The sequence below is a fragment of the Homo sapiens genome, chromosome X (genome assembly GCF_000001405.40).
Source record: "Homo sapiens chromosome X, GRCh38.p14 Primary Assembly".
Taxonomy (NCBI): Eukaryota; Metazoa; Chordata; class Mammalia; order Primates; family Hominidae; genus Homo; species Homo sapiens.
Window position 1 is genome coordinate 7,254,372 of NC_000023.11, and position 19,114 is coordinate 7,273,485.

The 19,114-nt window shown below is 40.6% G+C and overlaps 1 protein-coding gene across 7 annotated transcripts in view; it reads left to right on the plus strand.

The window, feature by feature from the left end:
- The window catches only part of STS (steroid sulfatase), a 207,352-nt gene that overhangs the window by 107,082 nt on the left and 81,156 nt on the right, over positions 1–19,114 (plus strand). For all 7 annotated transcript variants that reach the window (NM_001320750.3, NM_001320751.2, NM_001320752.2 and 4 more), the window contains 3 exons: positions 2,871–2,992; positions 3,095–3,217; positions 4,978–5,401. In NM_001320750.3, coding sequence (NP_001307679.1) covers positions 2,871–2,992; positions 3,095–3,217; positions 4,978–5,401 — 669 coding nt within the window. The remainder of the gene's footprint in view (positions 1–2,870; positions 2,993–3,094; positions 3,218–4,977; positions 5,402–19,114) is intronic.

The following is a 19,114-nucleotide window of genomic DNA, read 5'->3' on the forward strand; positions in this document are numbered from 1 at the left end:
AAAAAGGAAAGTAAGCCCTTGGGGAGTAGAATACTGACATTAAAATTTCACTTTCTCTTCCTAATAATGTGGAGATGATGGCATAAAAATAGTTCTATGGAGAGCTTCATCACATGAAAGATCAATACAAACTGAATTAAAGGAGAGGATGAGGAAAGAGATTATTTGCTTCTACCAGAACTTTCTTTTTTCTTTTTTTCTTCTTCTTTTTTTTTTTTTTTTTTTTTTGAGAAGGAGTTTCACTCTGTCGCCCAGCCTGGAGTGTGGTGGCACGATCTCGGGGATCACTGCAATCTCTGCCTACTAGGTTGAAGCAATTTTCCTGCCTCAGCCTCTTGAGTAGCTGGGACTACAGGTGTGCGCCACCATGCCTGGCTAATTTTTTGTATTTTTTGAAGAGATGGGGTTTCACTATGTTGGCCAGGCTGGTCTCAAACTCCTGACCTCGTGATCCACCTGCCTCGGCCTCCCAAAGTGCTGGGGTTACAGGCATGAGCCACTGCGCCGGCCCAGAACTTTCTTGTAGGATATGTGAATACTAAATACCTGAAGCCAGGAATGGACCCATTGCCAAGTGCCATGGGGCGCTGGTTATTTTCCTTCCATTCTCTTACTCCTCATCTTCTTTTTAACATGAGAAATCTTGGACAGTATATTTAATCATTGCATATCAGACCAAACAAAAATTAAATAGATTATGATATTAAGGAAAATCTTTCCCACAAGACATAGCCAAATATGTCTCACTTTCAATCTGAAACTTTGCATCAAATGTTGCTTTTTATTTTTTTAAGAGTATATTGACTTATGACATTGCTTAAATTTTAAAAAGCATATGCAAGGGTAAGATCTGCAATTTTAAGAGAGCACTTTAAATGTCCTCTTAAAATTGTAATTATCTTTGTATGTTTTCTGCCCCACCTTTTGCCTACTTTTGTAAAATGTTTACAGATCACTTTATACATTTGTGATATAGATCTTATTAATTTAGTTTTTCTTATCAGCATCATAATTTTATTCAGCTTTTTCATTTTATCTGTTTCTTTAATATTATGTATTCCTAAGATATATTGAGATAGTAGATAACTGTTCCTACCAAGATGTCTTAATTAAAAAGTTAAAATCAAGCCTTTGAGGTTAAATCTTTACCAATTATCAAAAGAAAAAATGTCTATAAAGCCCCATGGAAGAATTCATGGCAATATATACCCTAAATCTGCCTTGGTCTCTGTATTAGAGTCCCATTATTTCTGAATTACATTTTTCATTTTTATATTTTGTAATATCACACCCCAAAATAGTCACTTTTTTTTGTAGGCCACTATAGACACTAGGAAGATTAATTCAAATGTAAAAACAGTCTCTGTCTTCTAAGCATCTCACCCTTTAAGAAAAAAGCAAATTAGAAATATTGGTAATTAAACACATTCACTAAATTAATAAATGGTCACTAGTTTGACATTACAGATGCAATAAAATTATTTCCCCCTTCAAGCTATGCATCATTGCAGCACTACTCTGTGAGGGCACTGATCTAGGGAAGCCATGGGACCAATGAACAAGATGTATACTCCCACCCTACAGGCAGCCATCTTGAAGGGGAGCACAATTAGCCATGCCATTGCTTTACAGTGAAGAAGCTGCTTGTCTGGTGGAGTATGGACTACTGTTCCAAATATAGGTCAATCCCCTTGCATAAACAAGGAAGGGCACTGGAGGCCCATGAGAATTCCATCTGTACCTGGAACTGAAGGATGGCAGATGACAAGCCAGGCAGGGAGGAATGGACCTGGATTCCTGGTGAAGGACGTGGATATATCTTGTGGGGTATAACTTGGTATGGTCCAAAAACTAAAAGATATTAATTCCTAAATGACTTCCCAAAATGTTCAGCCAATCCATTCATAGAGAAAGGCTAAAGGTATCACTCTACAAGTGAGCTCATAAATAAGTATTTATGAAGCATAAAAAATATAAGCCAGCAAAGGGTATGTGGGGGTCGCAGCATCTAATTTCTTCACTGTAGTGTTTGTGCCTTTTCCCTGGAGCGTATTAACCCATTTATTGATGCTCACTGGTTGAGGCACATGGAGTCTGATTATTCCCTGTCCCTGGGGGCATGTAGAAATTAGGCAGGGGCTCATTAAAGCTGGTTGTGGGATTCCCTTTGGCTGTGGTTGGAAAGAGAGGGGAGTCAGATTGACCCTGGAGATTTCTCTTTTGGTGACACAGAGGTAACTTAGGAGATGTGGATCGGAGAAGAGTGAAGCCTCATCCTCATTCACCCCTTACTTTCCCTCCCTGCAGTATCCTATTTCAAAGACTTGGTTTCTCTCTTCTAATTCAGGGCTAGTGGGACCAGGAGCTCAGAGCCCTCTGTAACATGAATGGACCTTTTGGGGATGTCCCGCCTGCATCATTCACACATCTGCATGGTTTTGTTGTAGCTTGAGTCTTGATTCTGTATCACTTCTTCCCCACCTCCCCTGCCTCTCATCTCGCCTCTCTTTCCCACATAACCCCAGACTTGCCTTTGCTCATTGAGAAGTTTCCCAGTATAAAGAGCCATAGACAGTTTCATTTTGAAAATTATCACAGAGCTGGGCACAGTGGCTCACGCCTGTAATCCCAGCAATTTGGGAGGCTGAGGCGGGCAGATCACTTGAGGTCAGGAGTTTGAGACCAGCCTGGCCAACATGGTGAAACCCTGCCTCTACCAAAAAATGCAAAAATTAGCCAGGCGTGGTAGTGTGAGCCGAGATTGCGCCACTGCACTCCAGCCTGGGTGACAGAGTGAGATCCTGTCTCAAAACTAAATACATGAACAATAAATGAAAATGATCACAAATGCTATGATTCTTTTGTTCTAGGACTCCCAATATCGACCGGTTGGCCAGTGGGGGAGTGAAACTCACTCAGCACCTGGCAGCATCACCGCTGTGCACACCAAGCAGGGCAGCCTTCATGACTGGCCGGTACCCTGTCCGATCAGGTAACCTCCTATCTGCATCGCAGGGGCTGTGGTCACCTTCGGGACAGTCTCCCACCTCGAGGTATCTCCTGGTTCCTAAGGGTTGATTTTTTCCTGGTCCAGGAATGGCATCTTGGTCCCGCACTGGAGTTTTCCTCTTCACAGCCTCTTCGGGAGGACTTCCCACCGATGAGATTACCTTTGCTAAGCTTCTGAAGGATCAAGGTTATTCAACAGCACTGATAGGTATGGACATCTATGGGATGGGAACCATCTATAGGTATGGGAATGGGAGGGAGGACTTGGACAAAGTTAGCAAAAGAGTGGGAGAGGACATCATGACAGTTATCTTAGGGATGACTTTGCTGGTACACTTTGCATAACTTTAAATGGAAACAAAATGATTTCAATTGTAGGTTAAAACACAATGAGCCTATCTGGACTACTCAAATGTATAGATGTGTGTGTGTGTGTGTGTTGTGTGTTTGTGTGTGTGTGTGCATGTGTGTATAGATAAATAGATACTTAGGTTATACCTAATGATAGATGGATGAATGGATAGATGGAAGAAAGCATTGATGAATGGATGGATAGATAGATAATAGGTAGAGAAATAGCTAGCTAGCTAGATAGACAGATGCAGAGAGAGACAAAGGTGAGATAGATGGGATGGATGGATGGATGGATGGATGGATGGATGGAAGGAATAGATGATAGCTAGCTAGCTAGCTAGCTAGATAGATAGAGAAATAGAAAAACAGACATAGATAGATAGATAGATAGATAGATAGATAGATAGATAGATGCAGAGAGGGACAAAGATGAGATAGATAGATAGATAGATGCAGAGAGGGACAAAGATGAGATAGATGGGGTAGATGGATGGATGGATGAAATAGATGATGATAGATATGATAGATGGTTGGATAGATAGATAGATAGATAGATAGATAGATGTTATATATAAATAGATGCAGGGAGAGAGACAAAGATTACATAGGATGGATAGATAGATAATGAGGCAATTGGATGGATGAAATAGATGATAGATGGAACAAATGAAAGATAGACATATACATAGAAAGAATATACAAAACTATTCACACCATGCTATTGATAAAGATTTTCATTTTACTTTCCAATATAAAATTATGTCAGAATTTGTCTTGGTTGACACACCCACTGATTTTATCATGTAGATAGGGTTGACACCTTCCTTTTTGCATGAAGAGCTTGAATCTAAGCAGGCCATAAAATGAATCCTAGCAAATCTCAGAGGAGCAAAATGACCCTTTTCTTTCTTCCAACATCTTGTTAAAAAACTATCATTTTTTTCTTTTGTGAGGCACTCATTAATTTAGTGATCTAATTAACATTTTATAAGAAATTTTCAGAGGTGCTTAAAATAATTGCTGAGTTACTGAGTGTGATTTCCTCATGCCTCAGGGGTAGGTTCTGAAGTAAGGATTCGTTTCCACTTTTAACATTCAAGGAACAAAATTAAGTTGCTTCTAAAACTTTAATTTTAAGGGCCTGTCTCAGAAAAGCATCTGACCAGGAAAAAGAAAAAAAAAAAAACAAACTTGTATTTTTCTGTAGAGTGTGGTTTCCTGCCTATTAAAGATATTAGCTAGTTTTCTTTTTGGATTTTTATCTGATTGGGGTTTTTTGTTGTTGTTTTGTGTTGTTTTGTTGAAATCACTAAATTAGTTCTTATTTCTTGGTAGAGTGAGTAGAGGATTTTTATCTGGTTGAGATTTTGTTTGTTTTTTTGTTTTGTTTTGTTGGAATCGCTAAATTAGTTCTTATTTTCTGGTAGAGTGAGTAGGTAATACCTTAGCGTTTGTGGGGAAAAAAAAGTGAAAAATTCTAGGGTCCTATGAGCGGGAAGGCTAGCTTCATGAAATAGTCAGAAAGAACCTCCTTTTCAGCATGTAGGAACAGAAGCTTGGATTGGAATCAGGGTGTTTATTGGGACTGAAGTGATCCCCCATTTGTCTTCTCAGGGAAATGGCACCTTGGGATGAGCTGTCACAGCAAGACTGACTTCTGTCACCACCCTTTACATCACGGCTTCAATTATTTCTATGGGATCTCTTTGACCAATCTGAGAGACTGCAAGCCCGGAGAGGGCAGTGTCTTCACCACGGGCTTCAAGAGGCTGGTCTTCCTCCCCCTGCAGATCGTCGGGGTCACCCTCCTTACCCTTGCTGCACTCAATTGTCTGGGGCTACTCCACGTGCCTCTAGGCGTTTTTTTCAGCCTTCTCTTCCTAGCAGCCCTAATCCTGACCCTTTTCTTGGGCTTCCTTCATTACTTCCGGCCCCTGAACTGCTTCATGATGAGGAACTACGAGATCATTCAGCAGCCCATGTCCTATGACAATCTCACCCAGAGGCTAACGGTGGAGGCGGCCCAGTTCATACAGCGGTGGGTATTGCCTTGTCCTCTGATGCTGCCTGTTAAAAAACATTCTGGGTTATTTCTCGTGGAGGTGGAAGAACCAACAGGGTTTTGTTGTTGTTGTTGTTTGTGGTTTGTTCGTTTTTTTGAGACAGAGTCTTGCTCTGTCGCCCAGGCTGGAGTGCAGTGGCGTGATCTCGGCTCACTGCAAGCTCTGCCTCCCGAGTTCACGCCATTCTCCTGCCTCAGCCTCCTGAGTAGCTGGAACTATAGGCGCCCGCCACCACACCTGGCTAATTTTTTGTATTTTTAGTAGAGACGGGGTTTCACCGTGTTAGCCAGGATGGTCTCGATCTCTTGACCTCGTGATCCGCCCGCCTCGGCCTCCCAAAGTGCTGGGATTACAGGCGTGAGCCACCACGCCCAGCCAGAACTGGTAGGGTTATTATGCTAGCCACATTTTCCCTTCCATGCCTAACACATTTCTTCAGCCAGAGCTCGCCATAGCACATGTTTAATGGCCTTAGAAAGGTATTGCAATGCAGTGTGCTCTCCTTAGAGTCTCTTTGCCAACATTCCCCACATCCTGGGCTGGAAAGGCCCATGGCAAATTAATGTCTGCTGATGACAAAGGAGGTGTCAGATATCCCACTGGTTTTTTGTTTGTTTGTTTGTTTGAGAGGGAATCTCTCTGTGTCGCCCAGGCTGGAGTGCAAGTGGTGCGATCTTGGCTCACTGCAACCTCCACCTCCCAGGTTCAAGTGATTCTCCTGCCTTAGCCTTCTGAGTAGCTGGGATTACAGGTGCCTGCCACCATGCCTGGCTAATTTTTTTTCTATTTTTAGTAGAGACAGGGTTTCACAAACTTGGTCAGTCTGCATTTTGAACTCCTGACCTCAGGTGATCCACCCACCTCGGCCTCCCAAAGTGCTGGGATTACAGGTGTGAGCCACAGTACCCAGCCCCACTGGTCTTTAATTTTCAAATGTGGCCATCAAGAGAGGCAAGATAATGGCTTATGTTTAGTTTATAGGTTGTCCTTGTGATATAAACAATGTGGAAAGATCCAAAATATTTTGGATTAATCTCTGAGCAAACAAAACAAAACAAAAACCTCTGTGAGTAAACTGGGTGAAGTGAATGATGTCTCTTGGGTCTGTCAGGTCCCATTGAGTTTATAGTTTTGGGGATTGCAATCTGTAAATGGAATAACCATCAACAGTGGAGCAGACAGCATTCCTGAATTACATAGGTAGGTATAATATATATCTATATTATAATACATAATATAGAGAGCATAAGTAGATATAATTAAGTAGATATTATATAGAGGCTATGTCAAAAACACTTGCTATTCAAAACAAGCAAATAAAAGTATTTTGTTCCACTTGTAACTGTGGAGAACAGGACTCTAAAGAGAAATGGAAAGTTCATCTGAAAATCAGACGTTTGGTCTTTATGGTGACTTAAACTCTATGAGAGATGTAAAAGAGAGTTGGGAGGGTGATTTAAAAATTATAAAGGAGACAGAGGAAATATAGGTAATATTGGTTTGTCATCCAATTAATTGCATGACACAAAATTGTAAAATCAATCTCTGGATTGAACAATGAATGACAATGAAAAGGAAGTTATTGTGATGAAGGGAAACTATATTAGGGATTTAATTTAAAAACAAGCAAATATGCTCAGCCTAAGAAGAGAATACATAGTTAAGGTATGTGGAAGCTACATAAGTTAGGGCTGGTGAGAAAGGTAAAAGGTAACGTACTCTATGAAAATTATGTTGTCATTTCCTCACATGGAAGATGTTGTGTTCCTCTGTCCAGATCTTGTGTGCCTGGAGTTGATGCTTTACTGGAGGTTGGGAATGGGCAGTGGTTCTCCTCACTCTCTTCTTCCAGTTATGAAACAGCATAGGAGCAACCCATTCACCTGGAGGTACAACAGTGTCCTGCTACCCACAACATCACGGATTATGCAATAGATAAATCATAGGGTGTATTTTAGTATATCTCTCTGGTATCACAAAAGTGTTTCATCAACTCTGACAGAAGCCCACATATGGTTTGGGTGTCTGAACAGACTACGAAGTGACTTACACAAAAGTTGCAATTGATAGTATCACTTCCTCCTTCTAAAAATGAGACACAAATAGAATGATTAGTTCTTATAGTTCACACCGCCTCTCAGTTTTGACAGATTTTGTTAAAATCTAAATTGTCATTGAACTGTGAAATATATAAACTGGTCATTGGTCATTTTAAGTATTCTCAGTTTCAGCCTCTGGGACTTGGCTCCAGAGAGTATTCTATGTACTAGCTGCCCAACGGCTGAGGGAGCACCACACAATTTAAGTTTTTATTTTGGTTAACATCCAACTTCTGCTGCCAGTTTCTGTTTTTGTCAGTGAAGACTGACAAAATCTCAGTGGATTAACACTTGAAGATTTGTTTCTTGCCCATGCAAAATCTATTGCTGGTTGGGTGATGCTCTAGGGAAGCTTTGCTCCATGAGGAGACTCAGGGATCCAGGTTGCTAATATCTTGTGGTTCTGTCATCTCAATAGATGGCCTTCCCAGTAGCGTCCACAGGAGAAAAGAGTTGAAGGGTCCCTTGGGGGCTTTTTGTTACTTCACTGACCCAGGGGTCAGCATGTAGACCAGGCCCCATGTCTCCACCCTGACTTGACATGGGGCTAAGAGGCAGTCTCCCCATGTCTTCAGGAAGAAGAAAATGAAACGGCCTTGCTGAACATATAGCAGTGATTTTCCTACTGCAAACAGTGATTTTCAAATTTGTTTTAAAGCTGAGGAATATTTCAGATGAAATTTTATGAGAAGCTAAGTATGTCAGAGGGATAAAAGTTGCAGTGCTTGGGTGAACCTGGAACAGAGGACTGCATTTGGAAATTGCTGACATTTAATAAAGCCCCATGGAAATCTCATGAACAGCTGGAGAGAAAGGGCAGACTCTGCAACAAAAGAATAAAAGAACATGTGAGCAAACATCTAGTTAGTGCAGACTCTAGGCAAATTAATATTTAACAGACATTTGTAAGTAAAAAAGGTAGGCACACCAGGAGAAAAATCAACACCAGCCTTGGAATTTTAAAAAAGAATTGATATTACAGCTATGTGAGTGGAGGTTGAAGGAATTTGCCCAAGGTTATAGATAGGTGTAAACTAAAGGGGCTATTTTATTATAAAAATTTGGATTGCAGACATGTACCGCATAATAACATTTTGGTCAACAATGGACCACGTATATGACAGAAGTCCCATGAGATTATAATGGAGCTGCCTTATGCAGCTGTACGTTTGTATCTTTTTTGTTTTTTTGAGATAGAGTCTCGCTCTGTTGCCCAGGCTGGGGTGCAGTGGTGCGATCTCGGCTCACTGCAATCTCCCCCTCCCGGGTTTCAGTGATTCTCCTGCCTCAGCCTCTGAAGTAGCTGGGATTACAGGTGTGTGCCACCACGCCCAGCTAATTTTTGTATTTTTAATAGAGACAGGGTTTCACCATGTTGACCAGGCTGGTCTCGAACTCCTGACCTCAAATGATCCACCCGCCTCGGCCTCTCGAAGTACTGGGATTACAGGCATGAGCCACCACGCCCGGCCACGTTTGTATCTTTTATACTGTATTTTTTCCTGTACCTTTTCTATGTGTACATATGTCTAGATAAATACTTGCCATTGCATTGCAGTTGCCTGCAGTACTCAGTACAGTCACATGCGGTGCAGGTTTGTAGCCTAGGAGTAATAGGCTTTACCATATAGCCTGGGTGTGCAGTGGGCTATACCATCTAGGCTTGTGTAAGTGCACTGTACGATGTTTGCAGAATGATGAAATTGCTTAATGATACATTTCTCAGAACATATCCCTGTCACTATATGATGCATGTCTGTACTTGAAGCATTGATGTGAAGTATACTGCTTATTGGTATTTTAATATTTTCATCAGAGAAAAATAGAGTAAAGAAAATCTATAGTTTGGTGTTGTGTTGCGTTTGTGTGTGTATATATATATGTATGTGTAAATATGTGTGTGTATATATGTGTGTGTGTTTGTGTATATATATGTGTGTGTGTGCTTTACACACATATGTATTTAATTTACAAAGAGATAAATTATTGAAATTGATTTCCAAGGGAAGCTATAGGAGATATACATGTACAGCAGCAGCAAGTATTAATGTAAAGAATAAAGAATTTTCTGCCCAGGGTTGGATAATAGCCACTAAAAGTCCTTTAAGCAACTATTTATAGATCTATCAGAATTCAGGTAAGACATGAGCTATTTGTCATGATTTTCACAGGTTTGGGCTGACAGGCACTTGCTGGAGGGGTTATGAGTCGTTCTTGGGCAATATGCCTGTTGTCTGGGTGCCTGTCCTTGGTAAACATTGGGATCTGTGAGTAACCATAGCTCCATCATGTCATGCCCATGCTGACAGCCTGTCTTACCCAGGTGCCAGAGACTGCAGAAACCTCTCGGATTCTGCTCACAGCAAAATGGCATGGTGAAGGATGTCGTGCAATTCCTAAGAGAGGAAGGAAGACTTCAAGCTGTCAGTCACACTCCTGAACATTTATTTCCAGTATTATTTGTACAGAGATACTGCAGAGTTAGTGCCCGTGGTCAGCCCACACAGCCAGATGCAGGCATTGCAGGGCTGACCACCTGCCTCCTGGGCATGGCGCTTGGTTCAGAACTGTACATTGTAGGGTGGCCTTTGCTAGCCTAGTGTATGGTGGCGTATAATGTAGGATCACTATGACTTCCTGCAGGTAGACAAAGAAGGGAAAAGGGAGAGTCCAGGACTACAGGGGTAGACAAGTGATACCTCAGACTTTGCATAAGGAAAACCCCAGAGGTGCTTATTACAGCTGAAGATGGCCAAGATGAACTCTAGGGACTGTCACAGAGTAGTTCCAAATGAGACTTTGCATCAGCATTTTAATAAGCTTCTCAAGACATTCTAAACTGGGTGTTTCATAGGACACTCTAAGAAACACTGGGTTTCATATACATGTATGAGCTTTGGCTACTGTGCAGAAACACTGCAGTTATTTGTCACCTAGATTTTTCTAGAAGGTGATGCTGACAGGTGATCTCATGTAAAAGCTTTGGAACTTTATAAGATACATCATTCAGTTATATCATCATCTAGTAAGGTGCACATAGATATGTGATTAAAACAAAAGCTTATGGAAATGATCTTTCTCTTACTAGGGTGATTGCCCTAATATTTTCTACCCCATTTTATTCTGTTTTTTTTTTTTTTTTGGTAATAATCTGGTTTTGGAACTAATTAATTTCATGATGTATCAATGGGTCACAGTCTACATGATTGACCATGCTCTTACCTAGTGTGTGAGCTTTACTGTGTTTGATAAACAGGAGCACAGCCATTCCAAGATGGAGCGGCGCTCTTGGGCCTATTTAAGGCAGAAAACAACAGTGTGCTGTTTATCAAATTTGCTGGGAAAGCTGGACATCCTTATATCAGTCTTCATCTACCACAAATCTCTCAAAACGAGACAAGGTGGAGATTAATACAGCGTCCATTATACAATGGATAGTCAGAAATGATACTTGGCTTCCAGGGTGAATCACCTTGTATGACATGTATTTTGACAGAAATTATTTAATCTATTAGGTATATAAATATTCATATGATTACAAGTCATTTTAATGGGTATATAATTTTGAGAGGGGACCAAAACAAATTTATTGATCATGAGGATATTGAAGCCTGACAAGTTAATCTTGATTATCTCTAATTATTAGAGAGCTGAGATTTTCTTTTAGAACTACAGATTTAAGATGTTCTGGCAGCACCAAAGTTGAAGGGATGGTTATTGAATTACAACAAAAGGATTTTTTCTTTAAAATAGGTGATTCTAGTGTAGATGGCTATTGTCCACATTGGAGCACTCACAGCATGGTTAATATTAGTGAAAATGCTAGCATCTTGTACACTGTGTACATTCACAAACAGCTTCTTACATACTTTATCTGAAGATACAAAGATTTAAAGCACATTGTTACAATCATCCTTGGGTAGAGCTGTCTATCTGTGTTAGATTAGTTATCTGATTCACAAAATATAATATCCAAGGGTCCTGAGAGAATGGCCTTGATATGTTACCAAAGAATCCTAACATTGGTGACACCACCATGTTCATAAAACATTTTTTCAATGTCTGAAGACACATTTATATGTGTTATTTCATTATCCAGAATATCCTGAGCAATTTAGCCAGGTCTTACCACCTTTGTGAGAAATGGAGGTAGAGTTATTCAGCAGCCGAAAAAGGAATGCCTGATCAAAGCAATGGTAGTATTAGTGGAATTTACTCAAATGCTTTCAAATTTAAAAATTTCCAGTTACAACTGGTGCCTTGTTTAGATATTTTAACATATATATATATATTTGTACACAGCTGCTTCTCAGTTCATCTGTCAAAGGTGGTGAGGAAAATGATTTAAAACTCCTACTTCTAAAATTTATAGCCTTTCTCTACACTGTGTTACTGATATGATTTATACTCAAGGGTTTGCTCCTGAGATGCTAGCTTGCAATATTAGGGTATGAATGACAAGGAGGCATAAGGCAAAGATGCTTCATTGGTTTGTGATTCTTGCAAATGAGGTCCACTTAGTCAAACCCAGTTTGTGGCCTGGGATTCCAAGCACATATTTTCAAGTTGAGGAGAGCGATGATTTAGAATGTATAACCATCCACTCCACAATCCCTCACCCTAATTGACTCATTCAGGGATAAATTTATCTGGGGGAGATGCTTCTATTATTAGAGAGCTGGATAATTAGCTCACCATATGTTATACACTGTATAGTAATTCAGGAGATGGGTCATCCTGAATGCACTTTAATTAGCCAGAAATCCTTGCTATTCTTGCATAAAGGAGTGAATTATAAATTTCTTGGAGATACCCAACTCTCTGTATGTGCCCTGTAGGGTCATCCCATTATCACAGCTTTCGGTTTTGCCATCCCTGTCTTCATTGCAATGCAAAACAGATCCAACTTAGGTGCACAGCAGAAATGGTAACACATAATGGGACATGTTCAAGTGTAATGGACACCGTGGAATGGTTGCCAATTATACGTCAGGTGCTGTGGATACACACATTGTTTTGTGCACCTCCCACACCCATTGCTTCCTTCACACCACATAACAACCTCATGAGGTCGGTAAATAGATGTCTCACTGTGGAGAAACTTTGAAGCTGAAATCCTTTGAATGAACAAAGCTCCACAGGTAATAAAGAGTAGAGGCTGAATTTAAACAGAACTAACTCAACCTTTTAAATTTTGGAATGCTTCATAAACAGTTGGGGGAATCTTTTCCATCTACTCTAGTGCGGTAGACTTATTGAGTGAGGATTAGTCCGAGTGAGGATTAGTTGGAAGAAGATTAGGGCATTGTATGAGTGTCTCAACACCTTTCTCCAGATGGAAGAGTCTAGGTCCAATGCTCAAGGAAGGAGAATGCATCTCTGTAATTCTTATAGATAAGTTTGAAGATCAGTAGTTTTATCATTACTATGGTAATCGAGAAGTACCTGGATGCTCTGAAGAGAAAATAAAGCGTAAGGATGATGGGTGAATGTAGCAAGTTAATTTTATTCACAAACAGCTTTTTTCTTTAGTTCAAGTCAAGGCTAATTTTTAAAAAGGTGTCATGCTGGTGGGTAGAATGAGATTCATGTTTTATGTCTTCAATAGAAAGAGATGGATGTTGGTCACTCTGCTTTGTGAAAAAACAGATATGTTGGCCTCTTCTCTGAATTCATTGAAACAGTGCTTCATTGCTAGGAAAAATATTTAAGTAAATCACTTCGTGTTTTTCTCTGAAGATATATACATGCCCACTTCGAACAGTAGATTTCCAAGAATGGCAATGACTTTATACACACCTACATAATCTGTATAGTATGTTATACAGTTATGGGATTTATAGATTTATCTGGAATTTGCCATTAGTATAAGGTTCTCCAGGCTGAAGTTTATTAAGTTGTTTCAATATATTAAATATATGTATGTATATTTTGAGATATTTTAATTAGAAGTTCAATAAAAGCTAATAAGTTTTAGTCAAGCTCAATGTAGGATAACTCTTGTTCTTTATAGATGAATTTTTTCAGCAAAGGGTTTATGGATAGCAAATCAAAAATTTGGAAATTATGTAGAGTTCTGTTTTTAATCTCTGACTTCCCGGAGTGGTAAGATCTCCTGTTCTGAAAACAGTAAACCCTGCTCCCTGACAACTCTCCACAGAAAACACACCAAGACATCAGCATGATGGAAAGTATCAGTAATCAAGGGGTGGGGGGGAAACACCTACATGAAAAGATTATACATTTAGTGGAGAGCCATGGGGAAGAATCTCTCCTACCATTTCCTATGGTCTGTACTTTTATGATAAATAAATACTCCTTTCTACAAGCATTGCTTGTGTAATCATAATTCCCTAAAATCTATGACAGCTGATAAATGTATTATTGGAAGAAGATATGACCTTTTGTCCTGGTCTATGTACTGCTATCACCATTTGGCACAGTCACAATCCCGAAATGCATTTATTGGGTTCCTCCAGCCTAGCCTCTCCCACTTCCAGCTGGACCCCAGTGTAAGTGGCTGTGATGAATAGCTGTGATTTGGCTCAAAGTGTCTTTTGAATAAAGGGATCTTTAGGAGGTTTCATTAGTTTCGATAAGAGTGTAAGCCAGGAAGGAATGGGGTGATATTGATTTTAATTCATGGTAAGAAAAGTAAATCAGATTAAACACTAAGAGCAATATACAGGGACACACACAGATGCTCATTCAAAAATGGAAAAAGTAAATAATTAAAGAATTATCAAAGAGTCACATTATTCAATAACTGCAGGTAACACATGATTTGTTTCTAACTTTTGTGGGCCTATGGGATATGTATTTAAAAATGAGGGCAACGGGCACAGTGGCTCATGCCTGTAATCCTAGCACTTTGGGAAGCCTAGGTGGGAGGATCACTTGAGCTCAGGAGTTCAAGACCAGCCTGGGCAATACAGCAAGACCCTGTGTCTACAAAAAATAAAGAAATATTAGCCGGGCATGGTGGTGTGTGCCTGTAGTCCCAGCTACTTGGGGGACTGAGATGAGAAGATTACTTGATGCCAGGAGTTCAAGACCAGCCTGGGCAATATAGTGAGACCCTGTCTCTACAAAAAATCAGGAAGTATTAGCTCGGCATGGTCGTGCACACCTGTAGTCCCAGCTACTCAGGAAGCTGAGGTGGGAGAATCTCTTAAGCCCCGGAGTTGTAGGCTGCAGTGAGCTATGATTGCACCACTGCACTCCAGCCTGCACAACAGAGCAAGACCCTGTCTCTGAAAAAAAAAAAGGAGGGGAGGGCTTCTCTTTTGAATGAACCTCTGGTTTCGGGCTGAGCATATTGTAACAATACAGGTACTGAGGGATGTTCGTCTTTTGCCATACTAGATCTAGTGGGTCCATGGCATTCCCAACTCACTGGGGCATAGATAAAGAATACTTACACCTGACCCTGGAAATGCCTCTCCAGCCATACATTTCTGTATCTCTGAATATCATGCCTGTGAATAGCTCGAAAGCCTACATGTTTATGGAAATCATTCACAAACACTGTCATGCTATGTGAACCATTGAAAGCTACCTCTTTCTGGGAGCAAATTCTGACCCCTGCCAGGTTGAGATAAGTTCTCCTCTGAATTCATTCTCTGCAGCACTGAGTGGGGCATTTAAGACAGCTTAGACTAGCTGTCAATGCTCTTGTCTGAACTGTGGGTTGCTGATGGCAGGGTCCGGTCCAGTCTCTCTTTATATTTCTGGTGCCTGGTATTGTGTGTCAGCAGAACATTTGCTTAATAACTGCAAAACTTATAGATGGAAGACATGAACAGCTGGGTGTATAAATCCACCTGCTGCACGCAGAGGTGGTCACATGAACTTTGTGGGGGTTGGGGGTGGCGGTTGTTGATACCGCTATCTGATTTATGCCATACTCTAATTACCAGCAGCAGAAGGTAGCCAGAAGGAATTCACAGACATCCCTATTTGCATTCCTGTTATTCCCTATGCCCACTGTAGTTGGAACAATACTACAATAATAAAGGTCAGACACTCAGATGAAGATTATTATTCCGAAGATCCTCAAAAGTATACTTTATGGCAGACAGAAAAAAAATGCCTTAGCCATCTTCTTGTGTGAATTTTCACTCCTGCCTCTATAGAATGTAAATCTTTTGATTCTGAGATTGGAATGATTACATGTTGCTGGAAAGGCTCAGGGCTGTCTTCTGTATTTTTAACAAATGGAGCGCAGGCATGTAGCAGCTGAAAGTTCTATCTTTTCGCACAGTGTGCAAGACAGTGGCAATAAATTTTCAGAAGAGTTGTTTACTGAAGTACTCCAGCTAATAAAAAAGGAATTAAGCTGTTATTGAGAAATCTTTCTTCCACCAACTTGCTGATGTGTCATTCAGCTTTCAAGGTCGTAGAGAGGAAGAGAAACCCAGATCTCCTTCCTGAGCCTGGGTTTGAAGCAAATGGTCTTTCCTGGTCTCTCAAAGGATATCACAAAGCAAGAATTCCTTCACCTGGGCACAGGCTGTCAGTTACACCCCAGGTGTGTGCAGGAAAGCCAGTGATTTATGTCTGTCTAGCCAACATTCCCATGCACCGTTGATTTCACTTCTGTTCCTGAATGGTAAATCTTGGAACAGTGTTTTTGCAAGCCAAGTATGCTTTTCTCTGTTTTCTGGGTTTGTTTTTGTATGTCAAACCTAATCAACTCTACTCGATGCACAGAGTATACATAAAGATGCTGGTATCTCTGATGTCACCCCTATAGAATAAAAAACCACTGCTTTATAGAGAGATGATAGAAAACAAGTTCCATAAATATGTGAATTTTGATAATAAACACATTAATTCCCTTCTCCCCTTCTAAGGAGGATTCCCCTGCATTCCAAGACAAAGGTCATGTTCCGTAGCCTTGATTGAACCCTGAAGCTCAGGTCTTTGACTCAACTGTTCTTTCAGTCCTCATGAACCAGCTTTTATTTCAGGCTTTATTATTTGCCGGTTGTGTCATCTTTATCATTTATTTCTTTATTTCCACCTCACATTTTAATATGCCACAATTTTATGATCCTGCCAATCATGTTGATGGATGTCTCTTTCTTCTTCTTCTTCTTCTTTTTTTTTTTTTAACTTTTGAGCAAGAGGACTGCTATCCAAAATTGGAGAATCCAAGTCGAAACTGGACTGGAGCCCAGTGCTGGGCATTTCAATCCATGCAATAGCTCCTCGTTCTCAGCAAATTCTGTCACTCACATCCTGTATGACCATGTACTATGCTTGGGAGATTGACTTTTTAAGCTTTCTTATCTATTTTCCTTAACTTTAAATCTAAAAATAAATGGGAGAACAGATGAGAGTGAAATTGCAGTGAGATTGTTCTCATACATAATGTAACTCTCTATTTAGGAACACAAAGACTGTAATTTCATGTTCGTTTTGAGGAATCTAAGCCAGTTTAGGGGAACACAATCTGCTTCTGGGGAAGGAGGTGCAATTTGCCCAGGTGTGAGTAAACTTTCCCCATAATAAGTAGGATGGAGGCTTCACAGTCTGCTCTGTGTGGCCAAGCTCTCTAACATACTGTGGCTCCATTTCAGCTCCTCCAGGTTCCTCAAGGGCATCTTCTCTTAGAAGGAGCCAAACACATGGCTTGGTAGAGATGCTCATATGTAAGTCATCAGCTAGGATGACAATTACAGTGCTTCCATCTAAGCAGTAGTATGTCCTCTTTTCTTTCTGAGATCTAACAGTGAATGTTATAGACCAGGTCCAGTGGGCTCTCATTGCATGCCTTCTTATTCCAGTTCCTGTGAGAGGTGAGACAAGCCACTCAGGATTTTTTTTTTTTTTAACTTTCTTGGCTGTGAGATATTAACAACATTTCCTTGTTTCATATTCTTGTAAAAAAAAAAAAAGGTTGGGGGGTACCTAATTTGCCACCAAGTACTGGAATAATAAAACATGGTACTGATGATTACCAATAACTTGTTAGATTTGATCTGCCTGTTTTCAGAGAACTGGGGATGCCTGGCTTAGCTCTAACCCAAAGTGTGCTGTTTTGTGCTAATTTTCTCTTTCAAAGGAGTAGGGGGTTAATAAATGTAAGAACTGAAAAGGGAAGTGTTACAGCCATAGGTGTGAGCAGTTCGAGGAGCCCAAGGTATATTAACATTAGCAAAATACAAAATGCATTTAGAAAAGCATATATCCATTTATTGTTTCCAGAAAAACTTATTAGTATTTGTGACACCCAGTCCAAAATTTGGAATGTTTTTGGCTATCATGAGAAGTTAAGGAAGCCAGGAATACATAGAAGAAAAATTAATTTAATTACATATATATATATATATATGTAGTCTTCTGAACTTTTACTGGCTGGTAAAGATGTGGACCATAGGAGATGACCCCTTCAAAGTAAGAAGAGACTTAGGAGAGAAGTTCTGCAGAGTAGTCCCTGCTCTAGAGCAACTGTTACATAAACCATGTCCCGTCAAAGTAACAAAAGACTGAGGACAGAAGTTCTGCAGAGGAATCTCTGCTCTAGAGCAACTGTTACATAAGCCACATTCCTTCAAAGTAACGAGATTTAGGACAGAAGTTCTGCAGAGGAATCCTTGCTCTAGAGCAACCGTTACATAAACCACATCCCTTCTAAGTAACAAGAGACTTAGGCAGAAGTCTAAACCATATGCAACATAAACCATTCACAATGCAATTCACATTGCATTCCCAAGGCCCTGTCGTTCACTTGACTGCTGGGCGGGGCTGCCAATGCTCAGAAAGCAAATGCAGTATTTCATCCAATAGCAGAGATTTGCTGAATTCATGCCACCTGCCAATCACTTTGCGGGTGTCAGGAACACCATGATATAAATGACACCTCCTGCCTGGTGGTCTGGTGGGAGAAGAGAGCACATAAAGAGCTCTGGTGTCGTGGAACACATACTTTATTAGCATTTGCTAATAAAAATTGAATCTCCGGGCTGGGTGCAGTGGCTCATACCTGTAATCCCAGCACTTTGGGAGGCTGAGGCAGGAGGATCACCTGAGGTCAGGAGTTTCAGACCAGCCAGGCCAACATGGCAAAACCCCATCTCTACTAAAACAATTACAGAAATTAGCTGGGCATGGTGGTGTGCACCTTTAATGCCAGCTACTCCAGAGGCTGAGACAAGACAATTGCTTGAACCCAGGAGGTAGAGGTTGCAGTGAGCTGAGATCATGCCACTGCACTCTAGCTTGAGCAACACAGCAAGACTCTATCTCAAATATAAAATAATAACAAAAAAATAAGCTCCAGACCCTACAACCATGCCTGGCCTGTAGGGGATGCTTAACAATATTGTTTTAGGGTTCCCTTTTCTGAGCCCCAACAGGGAAACTAGAGAATACTGAAGAGAAAGAGGAAATGACCAGCAGAGAATCATCTCAGTCTCCCCTGAGGCTAGCCATACAAACTAGAATCCCTCTTCCCCAAGGCAAGTTATAGAGACCAGAACCCCTTCTCCCTCAATCAAGTCATAGGACTGAAAAATAGGACCAATTTTTCCTCATCCTTTCTATGTAAAAACTGGCCATAAAGAAATTCCCCAACCTACCTTG